Source organism: Homo sapiens, chromosome 17 (assembly GCF_000001405.40).
Source record: "Homo sapiens chromosome 17, GRCh38.p14 Primary Assembly".
Lineage (NCBI taxonomy): Eukaryota > Metazoa > Chordata > Mammalia > Primates > Hominidae > Homo > Homo sapiens.
Genome location: NC_000017.11, coordinates 59,781,944 through 59,809,391, shown reverse-complemented (window position 1 = coordinate 59,809,391; position 27,448 = coordinate 59,781,944). Strand labels below are relative to the sequence as shown.

Genomic DNA, 27,448 nt, shown 5'->3' with positions numbered 1-27,448 from the left:
TGAGCCGAGATTGTGCCATTGCACTCCAGCCTGGGCCACAAAAGTGAAACTCTTGTCTCAAAAAAAAAAAAAAAAAAAAAAAAAAAAGTTGAATGGGCCAGGTGTAGTGGCTCATGCCTGTAATCCCAGCACTTTGGGAGGCCGAGGCAGGTGGATCACTTGGGCCCAGGAGTTTGAGACTAGCCTGGGCAACATGAGATCCTGCCTCTACTAAAAATATAAAAATTAGCCAGGCGTGGGGGTGCATGCCTGTAGTCCCAGCTACTAGGGAGGCTGAGACAGGAGAATTGCTTGAGCCCAGGAGATGGAGGTTGCAGTGAGCCGAGATCATGCCACTGCACTCCAGCCTGGGTGACAAGAGGGAGACTCCGTCTTAAAAAAAAAAAAAGGTGAATGATTCACAAAATTACATACCCAATAAAAGTGATAGCACTTTTGTTAATTCAGGAGTATATATGGATCAAAATATAACACTACCACTTAGTAAAAGTTCTGTTTTAATACAATTCACTTACTGAAGCACAGGCCAAAATTCCAAAAAATCCAACTTTCTGTACTAGTTTTTGAACTGCCAGTTTGGCCCGGGAGGCAAAGTCCTGTAAAAAGGCAAATTTAGAAACATTAATGAGAAGTAGGAAAAGAAGGAAAGATGGTTCTTTCTAGAGTTTATTAAAGATCTCCCAATCTGATGACACTGATTAATAAGATGAATGATGAAAAAAATTACAGTAGGTTGTTCACTGAAACACAAGTAAAATAATGATAGACTATTACATCCTTAAAGTTAAGCTCTTACCACATTTTAAGAATAAACCAAAACACTGTAAATTTAAATTTAGTATTCTCTCTGGATATTCTAGGGATTAACAAAATACTGTAAACTAACCATGAACCAATTTATTATTTTGGAAACACTGGCCTACAACATCTACCTTTTCCTTTCTTCTATAATTTGCCAGACTTCATGAATACATCTCTGCCGATCACTAGCCAGAAGATGGAAAAAACAGTTATGTGGCAATAAGTAAGCATTCATTATCCCAGAAGCAAAAGAACATCCTACATTTGCACAGCTTGTGCTAGTTTTGTAAAACATTCTCACCATGATTTTATTTGAGCCTTCGATTCTGGTATGTAGGTATAGTGGATATTATTATAACCAATCTATAGACCACAAAACTGCAGCCCAGAAAGGGTAAGTGATCAAGATCATAATGTCAGTTAGGGACAAAGATAGGACATGATTCAATATTCAGACTGTGAAATCAGTGCTTTTTACTTCACTCTGTTACCTCCTCCCATGCTGAAACATGCATTCGGCTGGCTAGTTCTTTCGGCATGTTGATGCTACAAATATTTGACTTTAATTATTTTCTGGTTTTGAAATGGCATATATTCAAATCCAAATTCCAATGAAAATAGTTCATAAGACAAAAAATGAGCTAATGTGTAAATGCTTTATTTTTTGAATGTGTGTAAATGCTTTATTAATAAGTCTTCATATCATAGAACCTCTTCCACTCTCTTTAGTCCAACTTTCTTTTTTTTTTTTTTTTTTTGAGACGGAGTTTCACTCTTGTTGCCCAGGCTGGAGTGCAATGGCGCGATCTTGGCTCACTGGAACCTCCGCCTCCTGGGTTCAAGTGATTCTCTCGCCTCAGCCTTCCCAGTAGCTGGGATCATAGGCACCTGCCACCACGCCCAGCTAATTTTGTATTTTTAGTAGAGACGAGGTTTCACCATGTTGGTCAAGCTGGTCTTGAACTCCTGACCTCAGGTGATCAGCTCGCCTCGGCCTCCCAAAGTGCCAAGATTACAGGCATGAGCCACTACACCCGGCCTTTAGTTCAACTTTCTAAAAGACAATAAAGAGAATATAGAAGGTGGACAGATCCGGCCGGGCGCGGTGGCTCAGGCCTGTAATCCCAGCACTTTGGGAGGCTGAGGCAGGCGGATCACAAGGTCAGGAGATCGAGACCATTCTGACTAACACGGTGAAACCTTGTATCTACTAAAAATACAAAAAATTAGCCGGGCGTGCTGGCAGGCGCCTGTAGTCCCAGCTACTCGGGAGGCTGAGGCAGGAGAATGGTGCAAACCCGGGAGGCAGAGTTTGCAGTGAGCTGAAATCGCACCACTGCACTCCAGCCTGGGCAACAAGAGCGAGACTCCGTCTCAAAAAAAAAAAAAAACAAAAAAACAAAAAAGAAGCTGGACAGATCTATCATAGAGAGGAGAAACAAAGTTTAAAGCCAGAAAAGCAAACTAGTTGAAAAATATAGTTCTCTAATTGGCACAGAATCTGTGTATCCCCACTTACAAAAACATTTTGACAAATAATATTGTGTAGAATAGACCTACCAAATTACCACAGTAGTTAATACTGAAATTAAAGCAAAGAAACAAAAAACCTAACTCTACTTGTTGAAGATGATGAGAAAGTCAAAGAAACCAAACCAATAAACTATATTAAAAAAAAATATGATCAGTCAATATAAACACTTTCAAGTCCAAATACATAGGCTCTCAAAGTTAATCATTAGCTAAACTCTACAACAAAATTTAGCAATTTTATAATTTATTTCCAAAGAGATAATTATTAATTTTTCTTTTTGGGATTAGACTTACTTTTTCACTAAATCAGTTATATCAGATTTAATTTTTTTTTTTTTTTTTGAGACAAACTTTCACTCTTGTTGCCTAGGTTGGAGTGCAATGGTATGATCTTGGCTCACTGCAAACTCTGCCTCCCGGGTTCAAGCGATTCTCTTGTCTCAGCCTCCTGAGCAGCTGGGATTACAGGCGCCCGCCATCATGCCTGGCTAATTTTTGTATTTTTAATAGAGAGGGGGTTTCATCATATTGTCAGGCTGGTCTCGAACTCCTGACCTCCCACCTCGGCCTCCCAAAGTGCTAGGATTACAGGCATTGAGCCACCACCCCAGGCCTCAGATTTAATATTTTTAAACAACTGAACTACTGCAGCAAAGGGTATTTTCTATTTTTATTTAGATTTCTAGCTGAAGGTTAATTTTTTTCTTAGCATCTATTGCATTAAATGTGAAATACTGAGTTTTATTGATTTAAAACCATATAAGAATATATAATCAATCAGTTTTCCTATATAGCTTATTTTAAAAACAAATTACATTTCTATTTCTATTACATTTTATTATTTACTGCTCCTTTTCACTAATCCTATCCTTCTGCAAAATCCATTTATTTTTAACAATTTATACAATTAGTCCCCAAATTACTAAGTTTATAATCCATTTGAAGCACTAAATAAAAACTGGTAAAAAATGTTTTAATTGTCTAAAGTATCAACAGATACTATTAAATTAAAAACTAGTTATGAAATTTTAATTACTATAGCACAAGAATTAAATATATAAAATCAGGAAAATGCCTTCCTTTACAGCCCTTAAAATTTTCATAGCAAATCCACTTTTAAGAGAGGGAAGATTGTATTCAATTGCCAAGAAAAGGTAAAGTAAACAACAAAAAAAGCATACAAATTTTATTTTAAAGACAGCACAATTTTTATAAGTTTTCCAAGTCAGATATATGTGGGAATATTTTTCTATCAGCATTAATGTCACCTTTAATAGACACAATTATAGAAAATTAGTTTTTCTACATTAAATGGTATAGACAAGATCAACAAGTATTGTATTTAGAAGGTCTGGTGTCCTGCTTTCTTTTATATTAATTTCCTTTTTTTTTTTTTGCTTTTATTTTGAGTTTGCCAAAGAGCATTATCTTAATTTTAAGGCTTTAGAATTTTCTATTTATTTAAACCAAGTGACTAAGATTGTGCCATCATTTCAAACTGATGGCATTTTTCTACTCTATAGAATCACATATACACATACAAACTTAAATAGGAAAAGAGGTATAATTATACCAACTGGTTTATATAAAGAAAAAAATGATTAAACATTATGCAGATCACCTAACAATATCAAACATACTTAAGACTACAGAAGAACCAGAAAACATGGTTTAAAAAACATCCTGAAAAGAGGTCAAAACACAGTGATCATTACTAACAAAGAGGAATAACACGTAAGGAGCCATTTTTCCCTTTTAGGGAAGAGTATCTTTGCTTAACGGCAATTAGGCAAGAACGAAAAACAGACTTCTCGTTCTTTCAGATGCCTGGGTGCTCCTCATTAGTTATCCTTAAGGGAGCTTCAACAATCTTTTTTTTGAGCACAAAGAGTTAATCTATCCGAACACGTGAAGCTGAAACCTCCTTTTACCTTTTTTAATTTTTAAATTTGAAGCTGGCATGTATTATAAGGAAAACAAGTAAAGTGCCTTTTTAATGGAGAGCTTTACTTTTTAAAAAGAGTGAAAGTCATCTACTGAAAAAGGATTTCACAAATTTTATTATGTATTTAACATACACAGTGACCATGCTACTTTCAGTTCCCATAATTTTTTCCAGGTCTTTCACAATATTCTCAGAATTTAAATTACATTATATATCAAATAATCTACAAACATTTACTGAAATTATATTAATATGAAGTCTGCACAGTTGTTTTTATTTCAAGAAAATAAACATTAGCATAATATGCAGTTTGATGGACAGTATTTTCTTGATTTTTTTCCTTGCCAGTGTAATGAAAACAAAACCAGGAAAGCACTGCATTGGTATTTTAAAATAGTAAAATAACTAAAGTTTAATGTTTAGATTTGATAAACACGAACATATTTTATTGTTTCTTATTTTAAATTTATTTCACTTTTTTTTTTTTTTTTTTTTTTAGCTGGAGTCTCACTGTCGCCCAGGCTGCAGTGAGTGAAGTGGTGCGATCTTGGCTCACTGCAACATCTGCCTCCCGGGTTCAAGTGATTCTCCTGCCTCAGCCTCCTGAGTAGCTGGGACTACAGGCACACACCGCAACGCCCGGATGATTTTTTGTATTTTTAGTAGAGATAGAGTTTCACCGTGTTGCCCAGGCTGGTGTCAAACTCCTGAGCTTAGGCGATCCACCCGCCTCAGCCTCCCAAAGTGCTGGGATTACTGGCTTGAGCCGGTGCGCCAGGCCCAAATTTATTTTACTTTCAAAGCCACATGTATAAAACTTAGTTATATAGTTTTAACAGCTTTATGTAATAATTTTATTGAAAACATTATTCTTTTATTGTTCAAAATGTTCTATATGTTACGTGCAATTTTGCTTTCCTTGTTGCTCTGTAGTTTTAAAAGTTCTTTGTTTTTCTAAAAACAACTTCAGTATATTTTTTAATTATTTGTATAATTTGGCGGCTCTTATTGTGATTTTAGAATAATATTGTTTATGAACTAAAATATATATATTCTCATTTGCCTTTATAATGAGAATTTTATTCTACGTATATTGTTAATAAACTTGACTCTATTACTCACACACCTAACACCACCAAAAAGCTAAACCAAAACAAAAAAAATCCCTTTTATAAAATTAAAAAAAATTTTAAACAAATTTTGCTGTTCTTTTTAGTCCAAGTAAAATAAAAAAGCTGAGTACAAATACACACCAATAATAAACAATATTTTTAAGAAAAACTAAATAAAAGATTACAAACAAATTGTATGTTAGGTATTCAATGTTCCCATTAAAAGTTAAAAAAATTAATATTTCATTTGAATAGTTTTGGAGTATTGTGGGGAACAATGTAGCATGACCAATTTGATTACTTCCTCACATGTCATTTTTCACTTTTTCAAAAATCCATAAACTAAAAACAAACACCTTTTATTAGTTCCATTTCTCTGTATTTACATTTCACAACTTTTACCTATTTCACAACTTAAGTGCCTGAGATGATAGTTTCATTCTCTAAGTCTACTTAAATATGAAGCATGCATTTACAATTAGCAATTACAAATCATTTTCTACTTTTCTTTTTTCACAAAAATAAAACCAATTATAGGTAAATAAATTACCTTTCCTACCACAACCCATAGTGATTATATATGTAAACCAATCACGCTTCTGAAACAGGAGACGCAAGAAACATTTTCCCAAGCACTACAAGACTAATAAAAAAAAGTCACAGCAATTCCTTATCACTGAATTTCAAGATTAAATACAGAAAGACAAAGCCTTAAACTATGAATATGCCTGTACCATTGTTGCTTCACATTTCTTTTTCTTAAGAAAGATATTTATGATTGAGAGAGAAGAGAAACTACAAGGCTAATAACAGTCTGCAAAATATTGATCTTTGAATCTAATGATGTCAACATGAATGTAAATATACGAAGTAACTTTTATCTTCAAACAGTAACAGTAAACATTTTCATTTTCACGAGGAAGCCATATGAAAAGATCTCTTTAAAAGCAACAGAAGGCCATATGCGGTGGCTCATGCCTGTAATCCCAGCACTTTGGAGGCCAAGGCGGGTGGATCACCAGAGGTCAGGAGTTCCAGACCAGGCTGACCAACATGAAGAAACGTCATCTCTACTAAAAATACAAAATTAGCCGGGCATGGTGGCGCATGCCTGTAATCCCAGCTACTTGGGAGGCTGAGGTGGGAGAATTGCTTGAACACGGCAGGCAGAGGTTGTGGTGAGCCGAGATCGTGCCATTGCACTCCAGCCTGGGCAACAAGAGCTAAACTCTTTCTCAAAACCAAACAAACAAAGCAAACCCAGAAAATTAGCTAGGCGTGGTGGCTGGCGCCTGTAATCCTAGCTACTCAGGAGGCCTAGGCAAGAGAATCGCTTGAACCCGGGAGGCGGAGGTTGCAGTGAGCAGAGATCGTGCCACTGCACTACAGCCTGGGCGACATAAAAAAATGAAATAAAAGCAACAGAAAATCCCTAAACATGTAAAACCAATGCAATGTTACCGAAGATAAATGTATACTTGGTTAATATGTTATGGAAGTTTAAATTACCTGCCTTTATAACCCATTCCAGTCATGTGTGGCTTAACAACTGGCATATATTCTGAGAAATGAGTTGTTAGGCGATTTCATTGTCGTGTGAACATCATGCAGTGTATTTATACAAACCTAGATGTTATATAGCCTACTACACACTTAGGCTATCTAGTATAGCTACCACTCCTAGGCTACAAACCTACACAACCTGTTACTGTACTAAATGCTGTAGGCAATTGTAACACAATGTAAGTATATGTGTATCTAAACATGTTTTTATTTTATTTTGTTTTATTTATTTTATTTTGAGACAGGGTCTCGCTCTGTCGCCCAGGCTGGAGTGCAGTGGCGTGACTTGGCTCAATGCAACCTCCACCTCCTGGGTTCAAGCGATTCTCACACCTCAAACTCCAGAGTACCTAGGACTACAGGTGCGTGCCACCATGCCCAGCTAATTTTTGTATTTTTAGTAGAGATGGGGTTTCGCGATGTTGGCCAGACTGGTCTCGAACTCCTGACCTCAAGTGATCTGCCCACCTTGGCCTCCCAAAGTGCTGGGATTACAGGCGTGAGTCACTACACCTGGCCTAAATATGTTTTTTGTTTTGTTTTGTTTTGTTTTTGAGATGGAGTTTAGCTCCTGTTACCCAGGCTAGAGTGCAAAGACGCAATCTTGGCTCACTGCAACCTCTGCCTCCTAGGTTCAAGCAATTCTCCTGCCTGAACTGGGATTACAGGCACCTGCCACCACATCTGGCTAATTTTTGTATTTGTAGTAGAGATGGGGTTTCACCACATTAGCCAGGCTGGTCTTGAACTCCTAACCTCAGGTGATCCGGCTGCCTCGGCCTCCTAAAGTGCTGGGATTATAGGCATGAGCCACCTCATCCGGCCTAAATATGTTTTTAAATATAAAAAAGGTACAAATACAATATGGTATATAAGATATTTTGGGCCAGGCACAGTGGCTCATGCCTATAATCCCAACAATTTGGGAAGCCGAGATGGGAGGATCACTCGAGCCTAGGACTTCCAGAGCAGCCTGGGTAACATAAGGAGACCAAGTCTCTATAACTAATTAAAAAAAAAAACAATTAGCTGGGTGTGGTGATGCAAGTCTGTGTTCCCAGTTACTCGGGATACTGAGGCAGGAGGATTGCCAGAGCCCAGGAAGTTGAGGCTACAGTGGGCGGTGATCACACCCCTGCACTCCAGCCTGGGCAACAGAGCAAGATGATCTCCCCCTTCAACATACACACACACAAAAGATAAAACTATAGTATAGTAAATATATAAACCAATGACACATTTCATTTACTATCAAGTATTATGTACTATATATAACTGTATGTGCCATACACACACACACACACACACACACACACACACACACATATATATATATATATATATATTTTTTTTTTTTCGAGATGGAGTCTTGCTCTGTCGCCCAGGATGGGGTGCAATGGCACGATCTTGGCTCACTGTAACCTCTGCCTCCTGGATTCAAGCAATTCTCCTGCCTCACCCTCCTGAGTAGCTGGGATTACAGGCACGCGCTACCAGGCCCAGATAATTTTTGTATTTTTAGTTAAGATGGGGTTTCACCATGCTGGCCAGGCTGGTCTCGAACTCCTGACCTCGTGATCTGCCCACCTCAGGCTCCTAACGTGCTGGGACTACAGGCATGAGCCACTGCGCACAGCCTGTATGTGCTATAGTTTTATATGACTGGCAGCGTAATAGGTTTGTTTACACCAGCATCGCCACAAACATGTGAGTAATGTGTTGTGCTACATTACCATGTCACTAGGTGATGGGAATTTTTCAGCCCCATTATGAACTGTCAGACATGCAGTTCATCACTGGCTGAAAGGCTGTTATGTGGCATATGACTGTATATATTAAAACTACTGAGCTAATAATGCTTTCTTTTGGATTTGGAGCTGAAGTGATTTCACAGCCAATATTAAAAGCCTCAGAGCAACTGTTTCAATACTGATTCCTCATGTGTAATGGAAATTTATGTTAAAATATAGTCTATTTGTGAAGCTCTTGTGCCACCTAAAAATTACTTGCTGGTTTCTGCGTGCTAGTCAAATATGCACGCCAAGCAATGAAAACTCTATTAAGCAGAAATGGAATGACTTGTCATGATGACTTAATAATTTAAGTTTTTTCAGCATAGTAGACAATGAGTCTGAAACAATAACTTGTTATTAAGACCCTAATAACGTATCATTAAATATTTTCTAAAATGAAATACATTATACAATTAACTATTATCTTTATAGAAACTGCAATGTAAAACTTTCTGTAATGCAGTTATAACTTCAAATCTTTCTTGAACACAAAGTAAAAAGTGCCTTAATAACTATTTTCTACCCATTATCAGGGCTCTTTGAGTTATTTTAAAAATATAGAGCATTAATTGAATTCAAAGTGAACAAAATATTCTTACTGTTGACTTCCTCAACAATATCACTAAAGTAATTGCTTATATTTTAATTTTGCATATTTGAGTAGGTCCTCTTTAAATAAGCCTTTTTTTTTTTTTTTTTGAGAGGAAGTCTCACTCTTATCCCCCAGGATCTCAGCTCACTGTAACCTCCGCCTCCCGGGTTCAAGTGATTCTCCTGCCTCAGCCTCCCGAGTAGCTGGGACTACAGGGGCCTGCCACCACACCTGGCTAATTTTTGTATCTTTAGTAGAGATGGGGTTTTACCATGTTGGCCAGGCTGGTCTCAAACTCCTGACCTCAGGTGATCCTCCCGCCTTGGCCTCCCAAAATGCTGGGATTTCAGGCGTGAGCCACTGCGCCCGGCCAAGTGAAGCATATTTTTAAGTCACACATTATTTATTGTTATTGAATTATAACATAATAAGGTCACGGGATAAAGACTGTGGTTAGGAAATAAATTCTAGAATTACCAAAAAAGTAGGGATATTGTTGAAATAAAGTGATTGTAAAACAAAGAAAATAGTTAATAAATTTTAAATTACTAGCTATAAGATGTTGGATAACAAAATGCAAACCCATTTAAGAACAAAAAGTGATGAGAACTGAGTTGTGTAACTATTCCTGAAAATGAAACGTTTTAACATCCAGCTGATGGCTTACACGGTTAGATAAAGCCAACTGTAAAATCAGAGATGGTCACTGGTATTTCTATATATATTAGAAATTAGGGTAAAACTCTATAATACTGCAAGCAGAATACATCACATGAACACATTTCATAAAAGCAAGGATATTTTATTCTGAAAGTAACTTAGAGATTTAGAAGTTTTAAGAAGAGATTATATGTAAAACATGCAATATAAACATAAGTTCTCATATCTATCAAAATCAATGCAGGCATAACTAAAAACTACCAGAAGCAAAGAAGGATCTGACTATTCTCTGAAACAGTAAGAAACATTTATTTTGGCAACTAGCTAAATTTATTAAGTACTCAAAAACTAGATGTAACTAGAAATCTGAAAACAAAATTCAGTTTGGGTTTCTGTTTATACTCATATTTATATTATCTAGGGCAGTTTCATTAAATTAAAATGCGGTGTGAAAATTTAGTTGGTAACAAATTACATCTTGCTTTTTCTTTTTATTTTTTTCTTTTGAGACGGAGTTTCGCTCTTGTTGCTCAGGCTGGAGTGTAATGGCACAATCTCGGCTCACTGCAACCTCTGCCTCCTGGGTTCAAGCAATTCTCCTGCCTCAGCCTCCCGAGTAGCTGGGATTACAGGCATGCGCCACCACACCTGGCTAATTTTGTATTTTTAGTGGAGACGGGGTTTCTCCATGTTGGTCAGGCTGGTCTGGAACTCCCGACCTCAGGTGATCCGCCTGCCTTGGCCTCCCAGAGTGCTGGGATTACAGGCGTGAGCCACCGTGCCCGGCCTTACATCTTGTGTTTTAATGAACAGAATAAAATGGTGAGACCTCACAAGCAATGGAAGTAAATACTATTTCACGAAACATTTATTCTAGTTACACACAAATTGGCTCTGGGTTGCTAAGTACAATGTATTTTGTATTGTTGGCTACAGTTTAAAAAAAGAAGTAAAAAAGTCATTGATCTAGAGGCAGCTGTGACTGTAGTAGGTCTCATGATGCTTTATCCAAATTACACTTTTCAAAAGTTACGTGAGAACTGATCAACACAAATTTTTTTCATGTATACACACAGGAAATACATAATCCACTGTGAACACCACACATTTCAGAGTGTTGTGCCAAAAATAGGGAGCTATCAACTATTTCTGGGTCAAGATCAGGATTAAGTGGATTTCTCGATGTATAGATGTATTTCCGTTACCAAATTTACATGGGCAGGTTGCAGGAGAAAACAGTATGAGTAGTTTTTTAAACTAAGGCATAACGTATACAGTAAAGCATACAAATCTAAAATATACCTCTTAATGGAAATTTACAACACACCCATGTAACCACTACTGAGATCCAGATACAGAACATTACCGGAACTCCAGAAACCCTGCTGGTGGCACTCCTAGTAATTACTCCCTGCAAAATAACCACTAACATTGGCTTCCATTACCACAGATTTAGCTTTTCCTATTTTTGAACTTCGTTTTAAAAATTTATTTTATCATAGTTTATTTTACTTTTTTGAGATGGTGTTTTGCTCTTGTTGCCCAGGCTGCAATGGTGCGATCTTAGCTCACTGCAACCTCCTACTCCCGGGTTCAAGTGATTCTCCTGCCTCAGCCTCCTGAATAGCTGGGACTACAGGCCCATGCCACCACACCCAGCTAATTTTTGTATGTTTTTAGTAACGACAGGGTTTCACCACATTGGTCAGGCTGGTCTCAAACTCCTGACCTCAGGTGATCTGCCTGCCTTGGCCTCTCAAAGTGCTGGGATTACAGGCGTGAGCCACTGTGCCTGGCCTGAACTTTATATAAATGGAATTATACAGTATGTCCTCTTTTATGTCTGGCTTCTTTGGCTTAACATTATATTATGTCCAGGTGATTCATCCATGCTGTTGCATGTAGCAGTAATCAATTTGTTGCAGATGCTACATATTATTCCATTGTATAGGTATATCACAATTTATTCTATTGTTGGTGGACATTAGGGTTGCTTCCGCTTTTGAACTATTATTTAAAAAGTCTTTTTCTTTTTCTTTTTTTTTTTTTTTTGAGACAGAGTCTTGCTATGTCGCCAGGCTGGAGTGCAGTGGCATGGCGTGATCTCGGCTCACTGCAACCTCTGCTCCCGGGTTCAATCAATTCTCCTGCCTCAGCCTCCCCAGTAGCTCGGACTACAGGCGTGTGCCACAATGCCTGGCTAATTTTTGTATTTTTAGTAGAGACGGGGGGGGGGTTTCACCATGCTGGCCAGGCTGGTCTGGAACTCCTGACCTTGTGACCCGCCTGCCTTGCTCTCCCAAAGTGGTAGGATTACAGGCTTGAGCAACAGTGCCAGGCCTTATTTTTCCTTTTTAAGCTATCTCCTACAGGAAGGAAATTTTGAGTTACTATAAATAATGCTGCTATGAACATTCTTGTACATGTCTTCTGGCATATCCTTCTGGTGAGTATAGATTTACAAATGGAATTGCTGGATCATACAGTATGTGTATGTTTAACTGTAGTAGACAGTGCCAGTTTCCAAAAGTGACTGTCAATCAAATTATTCTTAATATTGCTTCCATTTTGCCAACTGATAATAACTGTCAATTGAAAAAAATCTAAATGATTTTCCTTTTGTACAGATGGTTCTAAAGAATGTGTTTGTCAGAATTAGCATGAGGATTGAGTAAGTTAAAGCAAGAAAACGAGGAATGAATAGCTTTAAATATTTTAAATGCTAAGTTTTAGAAAAACAACTTATAACATTTTGAAAGTTACTTCCAATTTCCTTAGGAAAACAGAGATAATTGCTTAGAAAAAAATGTACTTTTTGTGCACACTCAATTTGGGAAGACAAAATTGAAACCTTTTTCAGAAATCAGAATTCTTATTTAAAAGCAATTACATTTAACTGAATAAACCTGATAACTACTATGTGCAAGGTAATAAAGAATCCAAAGATGAGAACATAGTGATTCGTTCATACATTCATTCCGTATATGTTTAAAAAGTGTTTACTACATGCCAAATATTGTAGAAGTTGAGAACACAACGCTAAATCACACTGATAACAATCTGGAACCTCATGGAGTTTATATTCTAGTGGGAGGAGATGAAAACTAAATAGGACAGTCAGGAAAGGCTTCAGAGAAAAGGTGATCCAAAACATCAAAATTCTCAAGGAGGTGAGAGAGTAGGTCATGCTGACAATCTATGAGAAGAGAGTTCTGGCGAGTTTTTTCCCTTGGGAGATACCTAATTTAGGGTATGTGTATGGAAGCAGAGGGTGCAGTAAGTAAAAGGGAAGATGAAAGAAGGATGGATGAAACCTACAAAGCAAGAGAGAGCAAAAACAAGAAAGATAAAAAGTGCTATAGAGAGAAACAATACAAACACCAGCAATTCTATGGTTTTTAATGATATTAAAATGACACAGCATTGATAACACTAAATCTTTTAGGTTCTCTGAATCGCAGTTTGTTCATCTTTTCTGTAAAATGATGATAATAATGTCTACCACCATAAACAAAACTGAGTATGAGACAAAATTGTTTAAATTGAAGTTATACTGCTTAGTAAATGTCAAGAGACAAAAAACACCTGATACCCAATGAAGTAAAATATCTTGCCTGATTTATTTTATCTACTCAATCAGACCTTATGATAAGCACAATTACTACTGCAATCTTACAACGAAAATAAGAGATTTTTGTTTTGTTTTAAATTTTATTATTATTTTTTATTTTTATAATTTTTAAATGGTAGAGAGAGGATTTCACCATGTTGCCCAGGCTGGTCTTGAACTCCTGAGCTCAGCTGATCCTTTGGGAGGCCTCCCAAAGTGCTAGGATTACAGGCATGAGCCACCATGCCCGACCATTGTTTTTAATTTTAAAAAACAAAAGAAACATGTTCATATCAAAGATGTAAGGGGGCTGTAAAATGGAAGGGAGAGAAAGAAGGAAAATATATCAAAAATCAAAAAATTATCGGCCAGGCACAGTGGTTCACGCCTGTAATCCCAGCACTTTGGGAGGCTGAGGCGGATGGATCACTTGAAGTCAGGAGTTCGAGACCAGCCTGACCAACACGGTGAAACCCCATACCCCATCTCTACTAAAAATACAAAACTCAGCCGAGCATGGTGGCACATGCCTGTAATCCCAGCACTTTGGGAGGCTGAGGTGGGCAGATCACCTGAGGTCGGGAGTTCCAGACCAGCCGGACCAACATGGAGAAACCCCGTCTCTACTAAAAATACGAAATTAGCTGGGCGTGGTGGCGCATGCCTGTAATCGCAGCTACTTGGGAGACTGAGGCAGGAGAAGGTTGTGGTGAGCCAAGATCACGCCATTACATTCCAGCTTGAGCGACAAGGGCGAAACTCCGTCTCAAAAAAAAAAAAAAAAAAAGATCAAATCTGCCTTTTAGTGCCAACGATTAGTTTACCAAATCCTTCAACACAAGAAGGTAGAAATGGGTGCTATTACTTCTCCTGAATGCTTGTTCTTTAGGAGGAAATTGTTCAGTTATTTACACCTGTAATGATTATTTCACTATGATTACTAATCTTAAAACTCACAAACAACCTACTAGACATAAAACATTTCTTGTATAGTCTAGGAAGAAAGATGAGATGGAAGAAATACGGTTTCAGGAGGCTTTCTCGGGGGCTGACTCCAGTATTTATTACCATGTTCAGATATAAAGTAAGTAAATTATTCTTAGAAGTTCACACAAACATACAGTGCTCTCTCGCCCTCCTTTTCTTATTCCAGCCCAGTTACCAGCATTAAGATTGGCCAGTATCTGCAGCTTCCTTTCCCTCTGTCTCTCTCCCTACTTAGATTTTCGTTAAAAAAAAAAAAAAAAAAAAAAAAAAAAAAAAAATGCAGGGCGCGGGGGCTCACACCTGTAATCCCAGCACTTTGGGAGGCCGAGGCGGGCAGATCATGAGGTTAGGAGTTCAAGACCAGCCTGACCAACATGGTGAAACCCCGTCTCTACTAAAAATACAAAAATTAGCCAGGCGTGGTGGCGTGCGCTTGTAATCCCAGCTACTCACGAGGCTAAGGCAGAACTGCTTGAACCCGGGAGGCAGAGGTTGCAGTGAGCTGAGATCTTGCCACTGCACTAAAGCCTGGGCAACAGAGTGAGACTCTGTCTCAAAAAAAAAAAAAAAAAAAAAGGCCGGGTGCGGTGACTCACACCTGTAATCCCAGCACTTTGGGAGGCTGAGGCAGGCAGATCACAAGGTCAGGAGATTGAGACCATCCTGGCTAACACGGTGAAACCCTGTCTCTACTAAAAATACAAAAAATTAGCCAGGCGTGGTGGCAGGTGCTTGTAGTCCCAGCTACTCGGGAGGCTGGGGCAGGAGAATGGCATGAACCTGGGAGGCGGAGCTTGCAGTGAACCGAGATTGTGCCACTGCACTCCAGCCTGGGCAACAGAGCAAGACTCTGTCTTGAAAAACAAAAAAAGGGCAAATGCGGTGGCTCACGCCTGTAATCCCAGCACTTTGAGAGGCCGAGGCAGGCGGATCACGAGGTCAGGAGTTTGAGACCAGCCTGACTAACAAGGTGAAACCCTGTCTCTACTAAAAACACAAAAATTAAACGGGCATGGTGGTGCTCGCCTGTAATTTCAGCTACTCAGGAGGCTGAGGCAGGAGAATTGCTTGAACTCGGGAGGTGGAGGCCGCAGTGAGACAATATCACGCCACTGCACTTCAGCCTGGGCGACAGAGCAAGACTCCATCTCAAAAAAAATAAATAAATAAACACACACACACATGCGCACGCGTGCACACACGCACAAACATGGTAATTCTTAGGCAGCTGGCATCCACTCAAACTCAGGTGGGTGCCTGCCTAACTCCTACTAGAAATAAGAACGGACTCTGTAGCCCAAGAAGGACAAGTGCTCTAGACACTCAGGGAAAATATCTGAGTATGCAAGATTTATTACTGCATAGAAATAAGTAAACGGATATATTACACAAGTAATTTCCTTTTTCTTTTTCCTGTCTGAAGCCAGTAACTCCTCATATGACAATTTTTGAAAATTCTTTTTAAAAAAATTAATAGAGGCTGGGCATGGTGGCTCACGCCTACAATCCCAGCACTTTGGGAGGCTGAGGCAGGTAGATCAACTGAGGTCGGGAGTTCAAGACCAGCCTGGCCAACATGGAGAAACCCCATCTCTACTAAAAAAAAAATTAGAAAATTAGCTGGGTGTGGTGGCACATGCCTGTAATCCTAGCACGTTGGAAGGCCGAGGCAGGAGAATTGCTTGAACTCGGGAGGCAGAGGTTGTGGTAAGCCAAGATTGTGCCATTGCACTCCAGTCTGGGCAACAAGAGCAAAACTCGCCTCAAAAAAAAAAGAGATGGAGGTGTTACTATTTGGCCCAGACTGGTCTTGAACTCCTGGGCTCCAAGTGATCCTTCCACCTCAGCCTCCCAAAGTGCTGGAATTACAGGCATAAGCCACCATGCCCAGCCACTCATCTGATAATAATAATAATAATTATTATTATTATTATTATTATTTTTTGAGATGGCGTTTTTGCTCATGTTGCCCAGGCTGGAGTGCAATGGCGTGATCTCGGCTCACTGCAACCTCCGCCTCCTGGGTTCAAGCGATTCTCCTGCCTCAGCCTCCTGAGTAGCTGGGATTACAGGCATGTGCCCGGCTAATTTTGTATTTTTAGTACAGACCTCCATGTTGGTCAGGCTGGTCTCGAACTCTTGACCTCAGGTGATCCGCCCGCCTCGGCCTCCCAAAGTGCTAGGATTACAGGCATGAGCCACCGTGCCCAGCCTCATCTGATAATTATTTAGATCAAACTGAAATAAAAAAAATCAGTAGATGACAATCTGCTATGTATAAAACATAACAATAATACTAGTCTGTGAAGAAAAAAAGAAAAAAGTCAAAATAGTGAGGTAACTTGACTTAAGCAAGCAAAGCTATGAAAACTAAGTCTGTATGGAATTCACAAAACTGTCAGAGACAGGAAACTTAAGAGACTGAAAACAAAGGAAAAAGATAAATGGGAACTTCTCTATTATGGGAAATGTCAACAGTGACATTCTTTTCTGAGGTAGAACCAATCTTTTTTTGATTTTGAGACAGACTTTTGCTCTGCCGTCTAGCTGGAGTGCAGTGGTGCCATCATAGTTCATTACAATCATGACCTCTCGGGCTCAAGCAATCCTCCTGCCTCAGCCTTCCAAGTAACTGGGACTACAGTTGCATGCCACCATGTATGATTAATTTTTTAACTTTTTTGTTTTTAGAGATGGGGTTTCACTATGTTTCCTAGGTTGGCCTTGAACTCCTTGGCTCAAGTGATCCTCCTACCTCAGTATCCCAAAATGCTGGGATTACAAGCATGAGCCATGGCACCCGGCCAATAGAACCAATCTTAACAAATTTATAAATGGCCCTGGAAAAAGAAATGCAGAGTTTAAGTTCCAAATCTACAGTTGAAATTATATCTAAACTAGGAGATGCTAAATTCATGACAGTAAACTGAAAGATTTTGCACACTTCAGCAAGCAAGTGGCAGGTCATCTTCAATACAGACAACGGCAAGATAAAATGTTTGGGGAAAATTTATTTAAATATAAAACAATGGGGCCAGGCATGGTGGCTCATGCCTGTAATCCCAGCATTTTGGGAGGCCAAGGTGGGCAGATCATTTGAGGTCGGGAGTTCAAGACCAGCCTGGCCAACATGGTGAAACCCTGTCTCTACTAAAAATACAAAATTAGCCGGGCGTGGTGGCCTGTAATCCCAGTTACTAGGGAGGCTGAGGCAGGAGAATCACTTGAACCAGGGAGGCAGAGGAGTGAGCACTCCAGCTTGGGTGACAGAGTGAGACTCTGTCTCAAAAAAAAAAAAAAAAAAGAGCCGGGCACGGTGGCTCACGCCTATAATCCCAGCACTTTGGGAGGCTGAGGTGGGTGGATCGCCTGAGGTCAGGAGTTCAAGACCAGCCTGGCCAACATACTAAAACCCCGTCTCTACTAAAAATATAAAAAAATTAGCTGAGCGCGGTGGCAGGCACCTGTAATCCCAGCTACTCTGGAGGCTGAGGCAGGAGAATCGTTTGAACCTGGGAGGTGGAGCTTGCAGTCAGCCGAGATTGTGCCATTGCACTCCAGCCTGGGCAACAAGAGCGGGACTCCATCTTAAAAAAAAAAAAAAAAAAAAAGGGAACTGGGAGCAGTCTTAAATTGTTTATTAAAAATGTCAGCAAAATGCATTGCTAAACAGGCCCATGATTTTAGAAATATGAAAAATGAGTACAGTTATGTGGCAATTGCCTCTGGAAAATCATGTGCAGTTGTGACTTTCATCATGCGAAGTTATGATTTCATGCTAGGAGAGATATAAAAGGATTAGATAAAGATCCATGGAAAAAACAATTGAGATTTGGGGGCTGTTGGATATAAAAAGTGAATAATTACATTCTCTAGAAAGGCTTGAAGAGGAAGCTAAGTGAAATCTATAAAGCTATGAAAAATATGAGAGGAAATGAGAAGTATTTGACAAATTTTACAATATCAGAATAATTTGAGTGTAAACTTTAAAACTTTCTTTTTTTTCGAGATGGAGCTTGCCCTGTCACCCAGACTGGAGTGCAGTGGCGTGATCATGGCTCACTGCAGCCTCTGCCCCCTGGGTTCAAGTGATTCTCCTGCCTCAGCCTCCCCGGTAGCTGGGATTACAGGCACATGCCACTACTGCCCGGCTAATTTTTGTATTTTTAGTAGAGATGGAGTTTCACCATGTTGGCCAGGCTAGTCTCAAACTCCTGACCTCAAGTGATCCACCTGCCTCGGCCTCCCAAAGTGCTGGAATTACAGGCATGAGCCACCACGCCTGGCCAAACTTTATACCTTCAGAGAGGTAAATTTAAAACAAAATGGAAGCACTGCTTTATATGATGGGCTATAAACTTACTGAGTCTTTACTACAAGTAGTAAAAATACAAAGTTTTAGAAATTTGGATAAGTTAATTGATGCAGACCCATGTCAGGGAATGGGGCAAAAAAATCTAAAATATATCCCTACTTTTGAGGGGAGCACTGAATGAATTATCATGCCCATTTCTTTAGATCTCTTCATAGGGCCTTAGTTTAAAAGCATGATAGTCATATTTTGAAGTTGTAAGACCTGAGATAGCAAAAATGGGAAGGAGACTCTATTGAGAGAAATCTCCTTAAATAATAAGCAAGAAAGAACTGCAGATTGGAGCCAAACACGGTGGCTCATGTCTGTAATCCCTGCACTTTGGGAGGCTGAGGTGGGCGGATCACCTGAGGTCAAGTGTTCCGGACCAGCCTGGCCAATATGGTGAAGCCCTGTCTCTACTAGAAATACAAAAAAACAGCCGGGCATGGTGGCGTGTGCTTGTAGTCCCAGCTACTTGGGAGGCTGGGGCAGGAGAATCGCTTGAACCCGGGAGGTGGAGGTTGCAGTGAGCTGAGATCACACCACTGCACTCCAGTCTGGGTGACAGAGGGAGACTCCGTCTCAAAAAAAAAAAAAAAAAAAAAAGGGAAAGAAAGAAAGGAAGGAAGGAAGAAAGAAAGAAAAGAAAGAGAAAGAACTGCAGATTGATCATGACAAACAAAATATCTTGGCTAATTAGAAATAAAGGCACCTTTGCAATAGGAAATGAACATAATAGCTATTCTGCTGTCCAGGTCTTCCATTAAACTCTGATGTACCCCTCAAAGCACTCAGCACTTATAACAAAGGGTGGGTTTGTATTTAGCATGTTACTGATTTACAGACTCATAAGCAAAAACGAAGCGTAAGTAGTCTGTTGGTCCAAGTTTCAATACAGGGCCTTTTTTTTTTTGAGACTTGCTTTGTCACCCACGCTGGAGTGCAGTGGAGCGATTTTGGCTCACTGCAACCTCCGCCTTCCGGGTTCAAGCGATTCTCCTGCCTCAGTCTCCCGAGTAATTGGGACTACAGGTGCGAGCCACCACGCCGGGCTAATTTTTGTATTTTTAGTAGAGATGGGGTTTCACCATATTGGCCAGACTGGTTCCGCCCGCCTCGGCCTCCCAAAGTGCTGGGATTATAGGCGTAAACCACTGCGCCCAGCCAAAAGGGGCCTTTTTTTCTTTTATCTTTTTTTTTTTTCTCTCACTGCAATCTCTGCTTCCCAGGTTCAAGGGATTCTCCTGCCTCAGCCTCCAGAGTAGCTGGGACTACAGGTGCGTGCCACCACGCCAGGCTAATTTTTTGTATTTTTAGTAGAGACGGGATTTCACCGTGTTAGCCAGGATGGTCTTGATCTCCTGACCTCGTGATCCACCCTCCTCGGCCTCCCAGAGCGCTAGGATTACAGGCATGAGCCATGGCGCCCGGCCCAAAAGGGGCCTTTCTAAAGGCATTTTATAAAAGGTGTTTGAAACACAAACCTGAAAAAAAAAAAAAGACTTTAGTTTAACAAAGGTAACCTAATGCTTACCCAGTGCTTTTTCCACCGCCATATCTGCAAACAGGTGTGGAAGTGAAAAGAACAAGCAGACATAACACAAAATTATTTTCTTTCTTTCTTTTTTTTTTTTTTTAGATGGAGTCTAGCTCTGTTGCCCAGGCTGGAGTGCAGTGGTGTGATCTCAGCTCACTGCAACTTCTGCCTCTGGGTTCAAGCAGTTCTCCTACCTCAGCCTCCCAAGCAGCTGGGACTAGAAGCACCCGCCAGCACACCCAGCTAATTTTTTTGTAGTTTTAGTAGAGACGGGGTTTCGCCATTATTGGCCAGGCTGGTCTGGAACTTCCGACCTCAGGTGATCCGCTCACCTCGGCCTCCCAAAGTGCTGGGATTACAGGCGTGAGCCACCATGCCCAGCCACAAAACTATTTTCTTTTTTCTTCTTTTTTTTTTGGAGACTGAGTCTCTCTCCATCACCCAGGCTGGAGTGCAGTGGTGGGATCTCGGCTCACTAAAATGTACGCCTCCCGGGTTCAAGCGATTCTCCTGCCTCAGCCTCCTGAGTAGCTGGGACTACCGGAGCTCTCCAACATGCCTGAGTAATTTTTGTATTTTTAGTAGAGACGGTGTTTCACCATCTTGGCCAGGCTGGTCTAGAGCTCCTGACTTTGTGATCCGTCCCCCTCAGCCTCCCAAAGTGCTGGGATTACAGGCCTGAGCCAACGCGCCAAGCCCAAAACTATTTTCTACTCCAATGTGCAAAGCAACCTAACAAGAAAAACCTTAAATATTTATTCTTTTTTTCCCTGCTAATGACTGGACTGCATTAACCTCGTATTTTCATTTGAAAATCATCTTGTTTCAATGATAATTGCTTTGTCATCAAAACAAATAATTTTTTTAAATTTAGTTTGATGACTGACAGCATGGCTAAAACATAAACAATTTCAAACTTCATTATTGTATATTTTTTCCTGTGAGGAATAACTAGCTTCCACATTTTTTAGAATGTTTTTCTTATTTTGTTACAAAAGTGTAAGCCGAATAAAAGAAATTTTTAGGAGGTCGAGTTTAAAAGTTTTCACTAAATTAATTAATTAACTAATTAATTAATTATTTTTGAGACAAAGTTCACTCTGTCACCCAGGCTGGAGTGTAGTGGCACGATCTCGGCTCACTGCATCCTCTGCCTCCCTGGTTCAAGCAATTCTCTTGCCTCAGCCTCCTGAGTAGCAGGATTACAGGCACCTGCCACCATGCCCCACTAATTTTTGTATTTTTAGTAGAGATGGGGTTTCACCATGTTGGCCAAGCTGGTCTCAAACTCCTGACCTCAGGTGATCCACCCGCCTCAGCCTCCCAAAATGCTGGGATTACAGTCGTGAGCCATTGTGCCCAGCCTAAATTTATTTTTTAGATAAGTAAGTCTAGCTAAAGGTGACAAGGCTAAATACAGAAATGCGCATGTAAAAAGAAATGCACTTGGGAATGTATGTTGAGAAGACAAGTTTCCCACTGGCCATTCATTTAACAGCTTGCATCACATTGCAACTATCTTTCCTTGTTGATAATATGGGAATGAGTTAAAGAAATAGAAGAAATTAAAAGGGAGAAAGATTAAAGTCTGCGAGTGAGGTGGCAAAAGAGTTCAAAATAAAGTAAATGCTTCTAGAGAAAGCAAGTAAAAGGGGGCACGAAGAATTCCACTATAAATCATGCTAAGTGTGCTTAGACATCACAACTCCAGAATTACTCTAAGTGCTACCTTTTCTTGATGAACAAAGTGCAAGTAAGTGACCTTTGGTACCGACACCTAACTGTGCGAATAGTCAAAATATCCTGTAACAGAATCCATCAAGACCACTTAAAATTGCTTAATTTTGATGGTACTTTGTGATAAAATCATGAGCCAACTGTGAAAGACTATCTACCAGGCCCGCCTTTTCAAAAACTAAACATTATTGGGTGTGGTTGGTTGATTATGAAAAGAGAAACTACACTAATTCTTGGTAGTTTTGACAACGCCTTTAATGATAAAGAAGTGTGTTTAACATGTGTCTCTCATGTTCACTATGGTAAAGTTGATCAGTTTAACTCTTTGCAAACAAGCAAGAGATCCTGCAAGCAGGAAGCTTTTCTGTGGAACTCCTGACGCAACACAAACCATAACAGTTACTGCAAAGCTTAATGCAAACCCTCTAGAGTCCACGCTGACAAATTCTTTAACAAGCCCTGTGGTTACAGGGAAGCTGGTTTCACTGTGACTCACTCCTGCTCAAACAGTTTACTGGAAATGAAGGGGAGGGGGAATTTTCAGAGAAGTCATGTGATGGCCAGACAAACCACAACCAGTAAAGGTTCATCAGAGTCAAAAACAGGTCCCAGCAACAACTGACACCCAGAGTCTTCAAATGGTACTAAAGTGTATGAAAATGTGTCCTGTTTAGTTTCAGATCATCTACACCATAAACTCTTTCATGAATCTGTGTATGTAAAGGAAAAACTTCACAGCAGGAAAAACCAGCAGGCATTGACATGGTGTAGGCAACTGCAACCGCACACACTTCATAGGAAAATGTGCTTAAAAGAGAATAGCATTAGTGGAATGCCAAAGCACTTTCGTGAGTATTTAAATAATCTTATCAATTCCTTTCCCATAGTCTTTAAACTCAAATGATCAAACACATATTCTATCATTATCAAAAGAATCCTTCACTTTGACCCTATAGTTTGAAAAGGGATGTTCGCTAGATAAATGTCTATTTTGTTTTACTGCATTAAAAAAAAGGCATTGGCCATAAGAATGAGAACTACCATTACAACTAATAAACTGTTTTTTGGTTTTATATTTTCACTAGTAAAATAATGTAAATAACTCAAAACTTCTGAATAGGACAAAGATCCTATTAAGCTAAAAAATAAGATTTTTTTCAGCCTTAAATTTAATAGAAATTAGTAAGGTAAAAGATACTAGTATTAAAACTTAATTTGGGGATTTAGCTTCAACATACAGAGTAGGTAGCAATTATTGATTATTAATTACATTAATTACTATAGTCCTAAATAGAACCTAAAAATGTTCCCTTAAAAAAAGATTAAATTCAGAAACTATAAAATAGCCTTTGAGGAAATATTCAACCTAAAATGGTCGGCAGACTCATGAACGATACTCAACAGAAAGACAAGCTAATTGATATGAAAATAGAGGAAAAAAACTGATATTCTTTTTTATCTTTTTTTTTTTTTTTTTTGAGATGGAATCTCACTCTGTCACCTAGGCTGGAGTGCAGTGGTGTGATCTCAGCTCACTGCAACCTCTGCCTCTCGGGTTCAAGCGATTCTCGTTCCTCAGCCTCCCAAGTAGCTGGGATTACACATGCCTGCCATCATGCCCAGCTAATTTTTGTATTTTTAGTACAAAAAATTTTGTATTTTTACAAGGTTTCACCATGTTGGTCAGGCTGGTCTTTAGCCCCTGACCTCAAATGATCCACCTGCCTTGGCCTCCCAAAGTGCTGGGATTACAGGCATGAGTCATCATGCCAGGCCCCGATATTCTTTGAAAAGGTGAAGTTTTAAGACTTTTACATTTCTGATTTAATTTTAAATTTCCTATTCTGATAGCAATAATAAGAAGTAGGAAATTTCACATAGTCAGCAACCTAACACTGTGAGAAAGAATCCAAGTAGCAGGTCATTAAAACAGATGACATTTAGGAAAGTAAACTTATTCAAAACATATTCTTGTAAGTAAATATGTACCACAACGTTTCTACTCTATTGTGTAAGCTTTAAATACAAAAATACCACAACCACTCCCGGACTCCTCCATTATTTCAGTAATACTGGCTGCCCTAATTTTTCAGGATACATCATGCAAATAAGTTCTTTTATTTTTCAAATTATTTTATTCCTAAAGTATCTTTAATTTTTCTTTTTGGTTATACAGCTTATAGAATAAACAAGTCACAAGAATCTTCATTTGTTTCTAAAGTATATAATTTTACAAAAGTTGTTTTACTCAATGTGAATTAAAATTTGCAAGTCTAAAAAAATAAAAAAATTTTAAAAAGTAAAAAAATTTGCAAGTCATTTAACTTGGTGTCTTTTATATTATCTTCAGATGACAATTGCTCTCAGATGACTATTAAACTCAAAGATGCAATACAGTTAAATCTTCCTTTCTTTGTAAAATTACTGTTGTTCAATTACATTTTACAGCAAAATAAGACTGAATATTAATGGACATGTTTCATGTAATGCTACACTTTTTCTTACTGTTATTTCATCATCTATTCAAAGTATCCACTGCATGAGTAGTATGTGTAACAGTAGGCAGGCATTGTTGAAAATACAAACATTTTTAAGCCCCCTTCTTAAGGAGTTTAGACTCCTGGAGAGATAAGAAAAGTCTATAAATAGTTTTAAAAGAAGGTAGAATGTGATAAGTGACACAAGAAAGACATAGCTGGGCTGAGATAGGAATTCAGAGACAATTTGAGAGGAGTGAAGGGGGTGAGGTAGGGGTAGGAAGGGAATCATAAAATAGTTCACAAAGAAGCCAGCAGCACATAAATTGAAAGGTAAGAAAACTGAAAAAGTAGACATGCAGATGGGAAGAAATGACACACTAGGCAAAGTTACGAAAAAGAACAATACCGCATAGTGGTGGAGGAAAAAGTTAAATTATTCCAAATGATCAGGCTAGTAATTTTTAAACTTAAAAACTTCAGAGTTCTTTAATTAAAAGAAATCTCTCTCCCTCTCCCTTCCTCCCTCCAATCTCTCTCTCTCTCTCACACACACACACACACACACACACACACACACACACACACACTCTTTTTGATGGGTATTCTGGCAGTTTTTTAAAGTTCAACTTGAAAACCATCAATACAGAGGATAAAAAACTGTTAAAGGGAAATCAGAAGTAGTCGTAGGTTGGGGCCAAGTAATGAAGAAAACTGGGTTAAATAGTTTAGATTTCACTCTATACACAGTGGGAGGCATCACAGATTTTTGAGCAGCAATGTTTCATAAGTAGAGATATTTTTCAGAAAATTATTTTTGTTACTTTGTGTGGGAAAAGATTGGGATAAAAAACTAGTAAAGAGTAGACCTACTAGCAAGCTGCTGGCAATATTTAGGTAAGGGTTGATAAAGGCCTGAAACAGTAGCGGGAAGGGAGAAGAGAGGGCATGTAAGATACTATGGAGATAGAATCAACAGGCCTTAAAGAATTAATTACTGGGGATGGGAGGAAAGGAGGGAGTCAGATGACTCAGATTTTGACCCAAAGCGATTGTTAGGATGGTGATAGCATTAACAGAACACAGGAACAAAGAAGGAAAAGAAGATCATAAAGAGAATAATTAAACCTTGCATAAAACAGTCCACAAAGCACATAAACAGCTATCTAGACCTAACTTTTATTAATGATGCTAAAATTGCTCAAGGTCAGAGGAAGCTACATTCATTCATGTGTACCTCTCACAGACATCTAGTGGAAACACGATAGAAAGCCAAGAGCAAAAGGAAGTCAGCTTAGTGGAAAAATACTGCCTAATCTCAACATTGTACTCACAAAAATACAGCAGGTATCATAATAAATCAGAATACAAATAAATGCTTTAATCATCTTTTTTCCCCCTTAAAACATCTATAGTACGACATCCAACCATTAGTCAAGAATGGAATTTAAGTAAATAAAATTGTTTCATAACAACAATTTCTTTTTGTTTTTTTGAGACAGAGTCTCGCTCTGTCGCCCAGGCTGGATTGCAGTGGCGCGATCTTGACTCACTGCTAGCTCCACCTCCCAGGTTCATGCCATTCTCCTGCCTCAGCCTCCGGAGTAGCTGGGACTAGAGGCGCCCGCCACCACGCCCGGCTAACTTTTTGTATTTTTTAGTGGAGACGGGGTTTCACCATGTCAGCCAGGATGGTCTCGATGTCCTGACCTCGTGATCCGCCTGCCTTGGGCGTGTTGGGATTACAGGTGTGAGCCATCGCGCCCGGCCACAACAATTTCTTAGTAAAATCACATACACCATTTAACCTAGTTGGAAAGCACATGGCAAAGCAATGAAAGCCAAGTGGTTTTTTTTGTTTGTTTGTTTTTACTTTTTTGGCTGATAAACTTACTCTACTACAGGGCTTTACCTTCAAAAATAAAAACCCATATTTTCTAACTCATTCTCATGCAATCTTAAAATTTAAATTTCCACTCATAGTTACGGATTGATTTTACTTAATTTGCCGTTTTAGCTACAGTTGATTCAACTTTTCCGTATTTTATTGCTTCTATCAAATTGGAGGTTTTACCAAATACATGTTATCTACGAGCAGATCCCAGCAACAAAGTCAGATAAACTTTGAATCTTTGCTAAACTGATTACTATAAGAATTTGTAAATCATAACCAATAAGATGTGACTAGAAAGATGTCAGTAAAGTTATAGCTTAGCAAATAAGAACCCAGTATCTTTTTAATATACCATTTCTAACATTTATAAAAATATAATAGGAAAAAAGATGCAAATTAGAACAACAAAATATAAGACAAAACTAACATATTAAAATCACTTGGAAAATAGTGTTGGAACAATATACAATTAGTTAATTACCTAAGAAAGAAAAAAGTTAGATTCCTACATCATATCATATGTAAAAATATTTTCATAGATTAAAGACTTAAAAGAATAAAACCATAAAAGTACTAAAAGAAAATACAGGCCAGGTGCGGTGGCTCATGCCTGTAATTCCAGAACTTTGGGAGGCCAAGGCTGGCAGATCACTTGAGGTCGGGAGCTCGAGACTAGCCTGGCCAACATGGTGAAACCCCATCTCTACTAAAAATACAAAAATTAGCTGGGCGTGGTGACATGTGCCTGTAATCCTAGCTACTTGGGAGGCTGAGTTAGGAGAACCACTTGAACCCGGGAGGCAGAGGTTGCAGTGAGCCAAGATCACACCACTGCACTCCAGCATAGGCGACA

At 39.0% G+C, this 27,448-nt stretch overlaps 1 protein-coding gene across 10 annotated transcripts in view, besides 2 other annotated features; it reads right to left on the bottom strand.

Annotated features, from left to right (window-relative positions):
- VMP1 (vacuole membrane protein 1) overlaps nt 1-27,448 on the bottom strand; it is a 134,602-nt gene that overhangs the window by 32,864 nt on the left and 74,290 nt on the right. For all 10 annotated transcript variants that reach the window (NM_001329394.2, NM_001329395.2, NM_030938.5 and 7 more), the window contains one exon: nt 516-596. In NM_001329394.2, the coding sequence (NP_001316323.1) occupies nt 516-596 (81 nt within the window). The remainder of the gene's footprint in view (nt 1-515; nt 597-27,448) is intronic.
- Nucleotides 22,472-22,951: an enhancer, noted in NCBI's record as "active region_12515". NCBI's record gives its function as "activates an Ori minimal core promoter by ATAC-STARR-seq in GM12878 lymphoblastoid cells {active_cell/tissue: GM12878}" and the evidence as "EXISTENCE:reporter gene assay evidence [ECO:0000049][PMID:35858748]".
- Nucleotides 25,227-26,040: an enhancer, noted in NCBI's record as "H3K27ac-H3K4me1 hESC enhancer chr17:57860713-57861526 (GRCh37/hg19 assembly coordinates)". NCBI's record gives its function as "activates a minimal SCP1, AML or CMV promoter by ChIP-STARR-seq in primed H9 embryonic stem cells {active_cell/tissue: H9 hESC(primed)}" and the evidence as "EXISTENCE:reporter gene assay evidence [ECO:0000049][PMID:30033119]".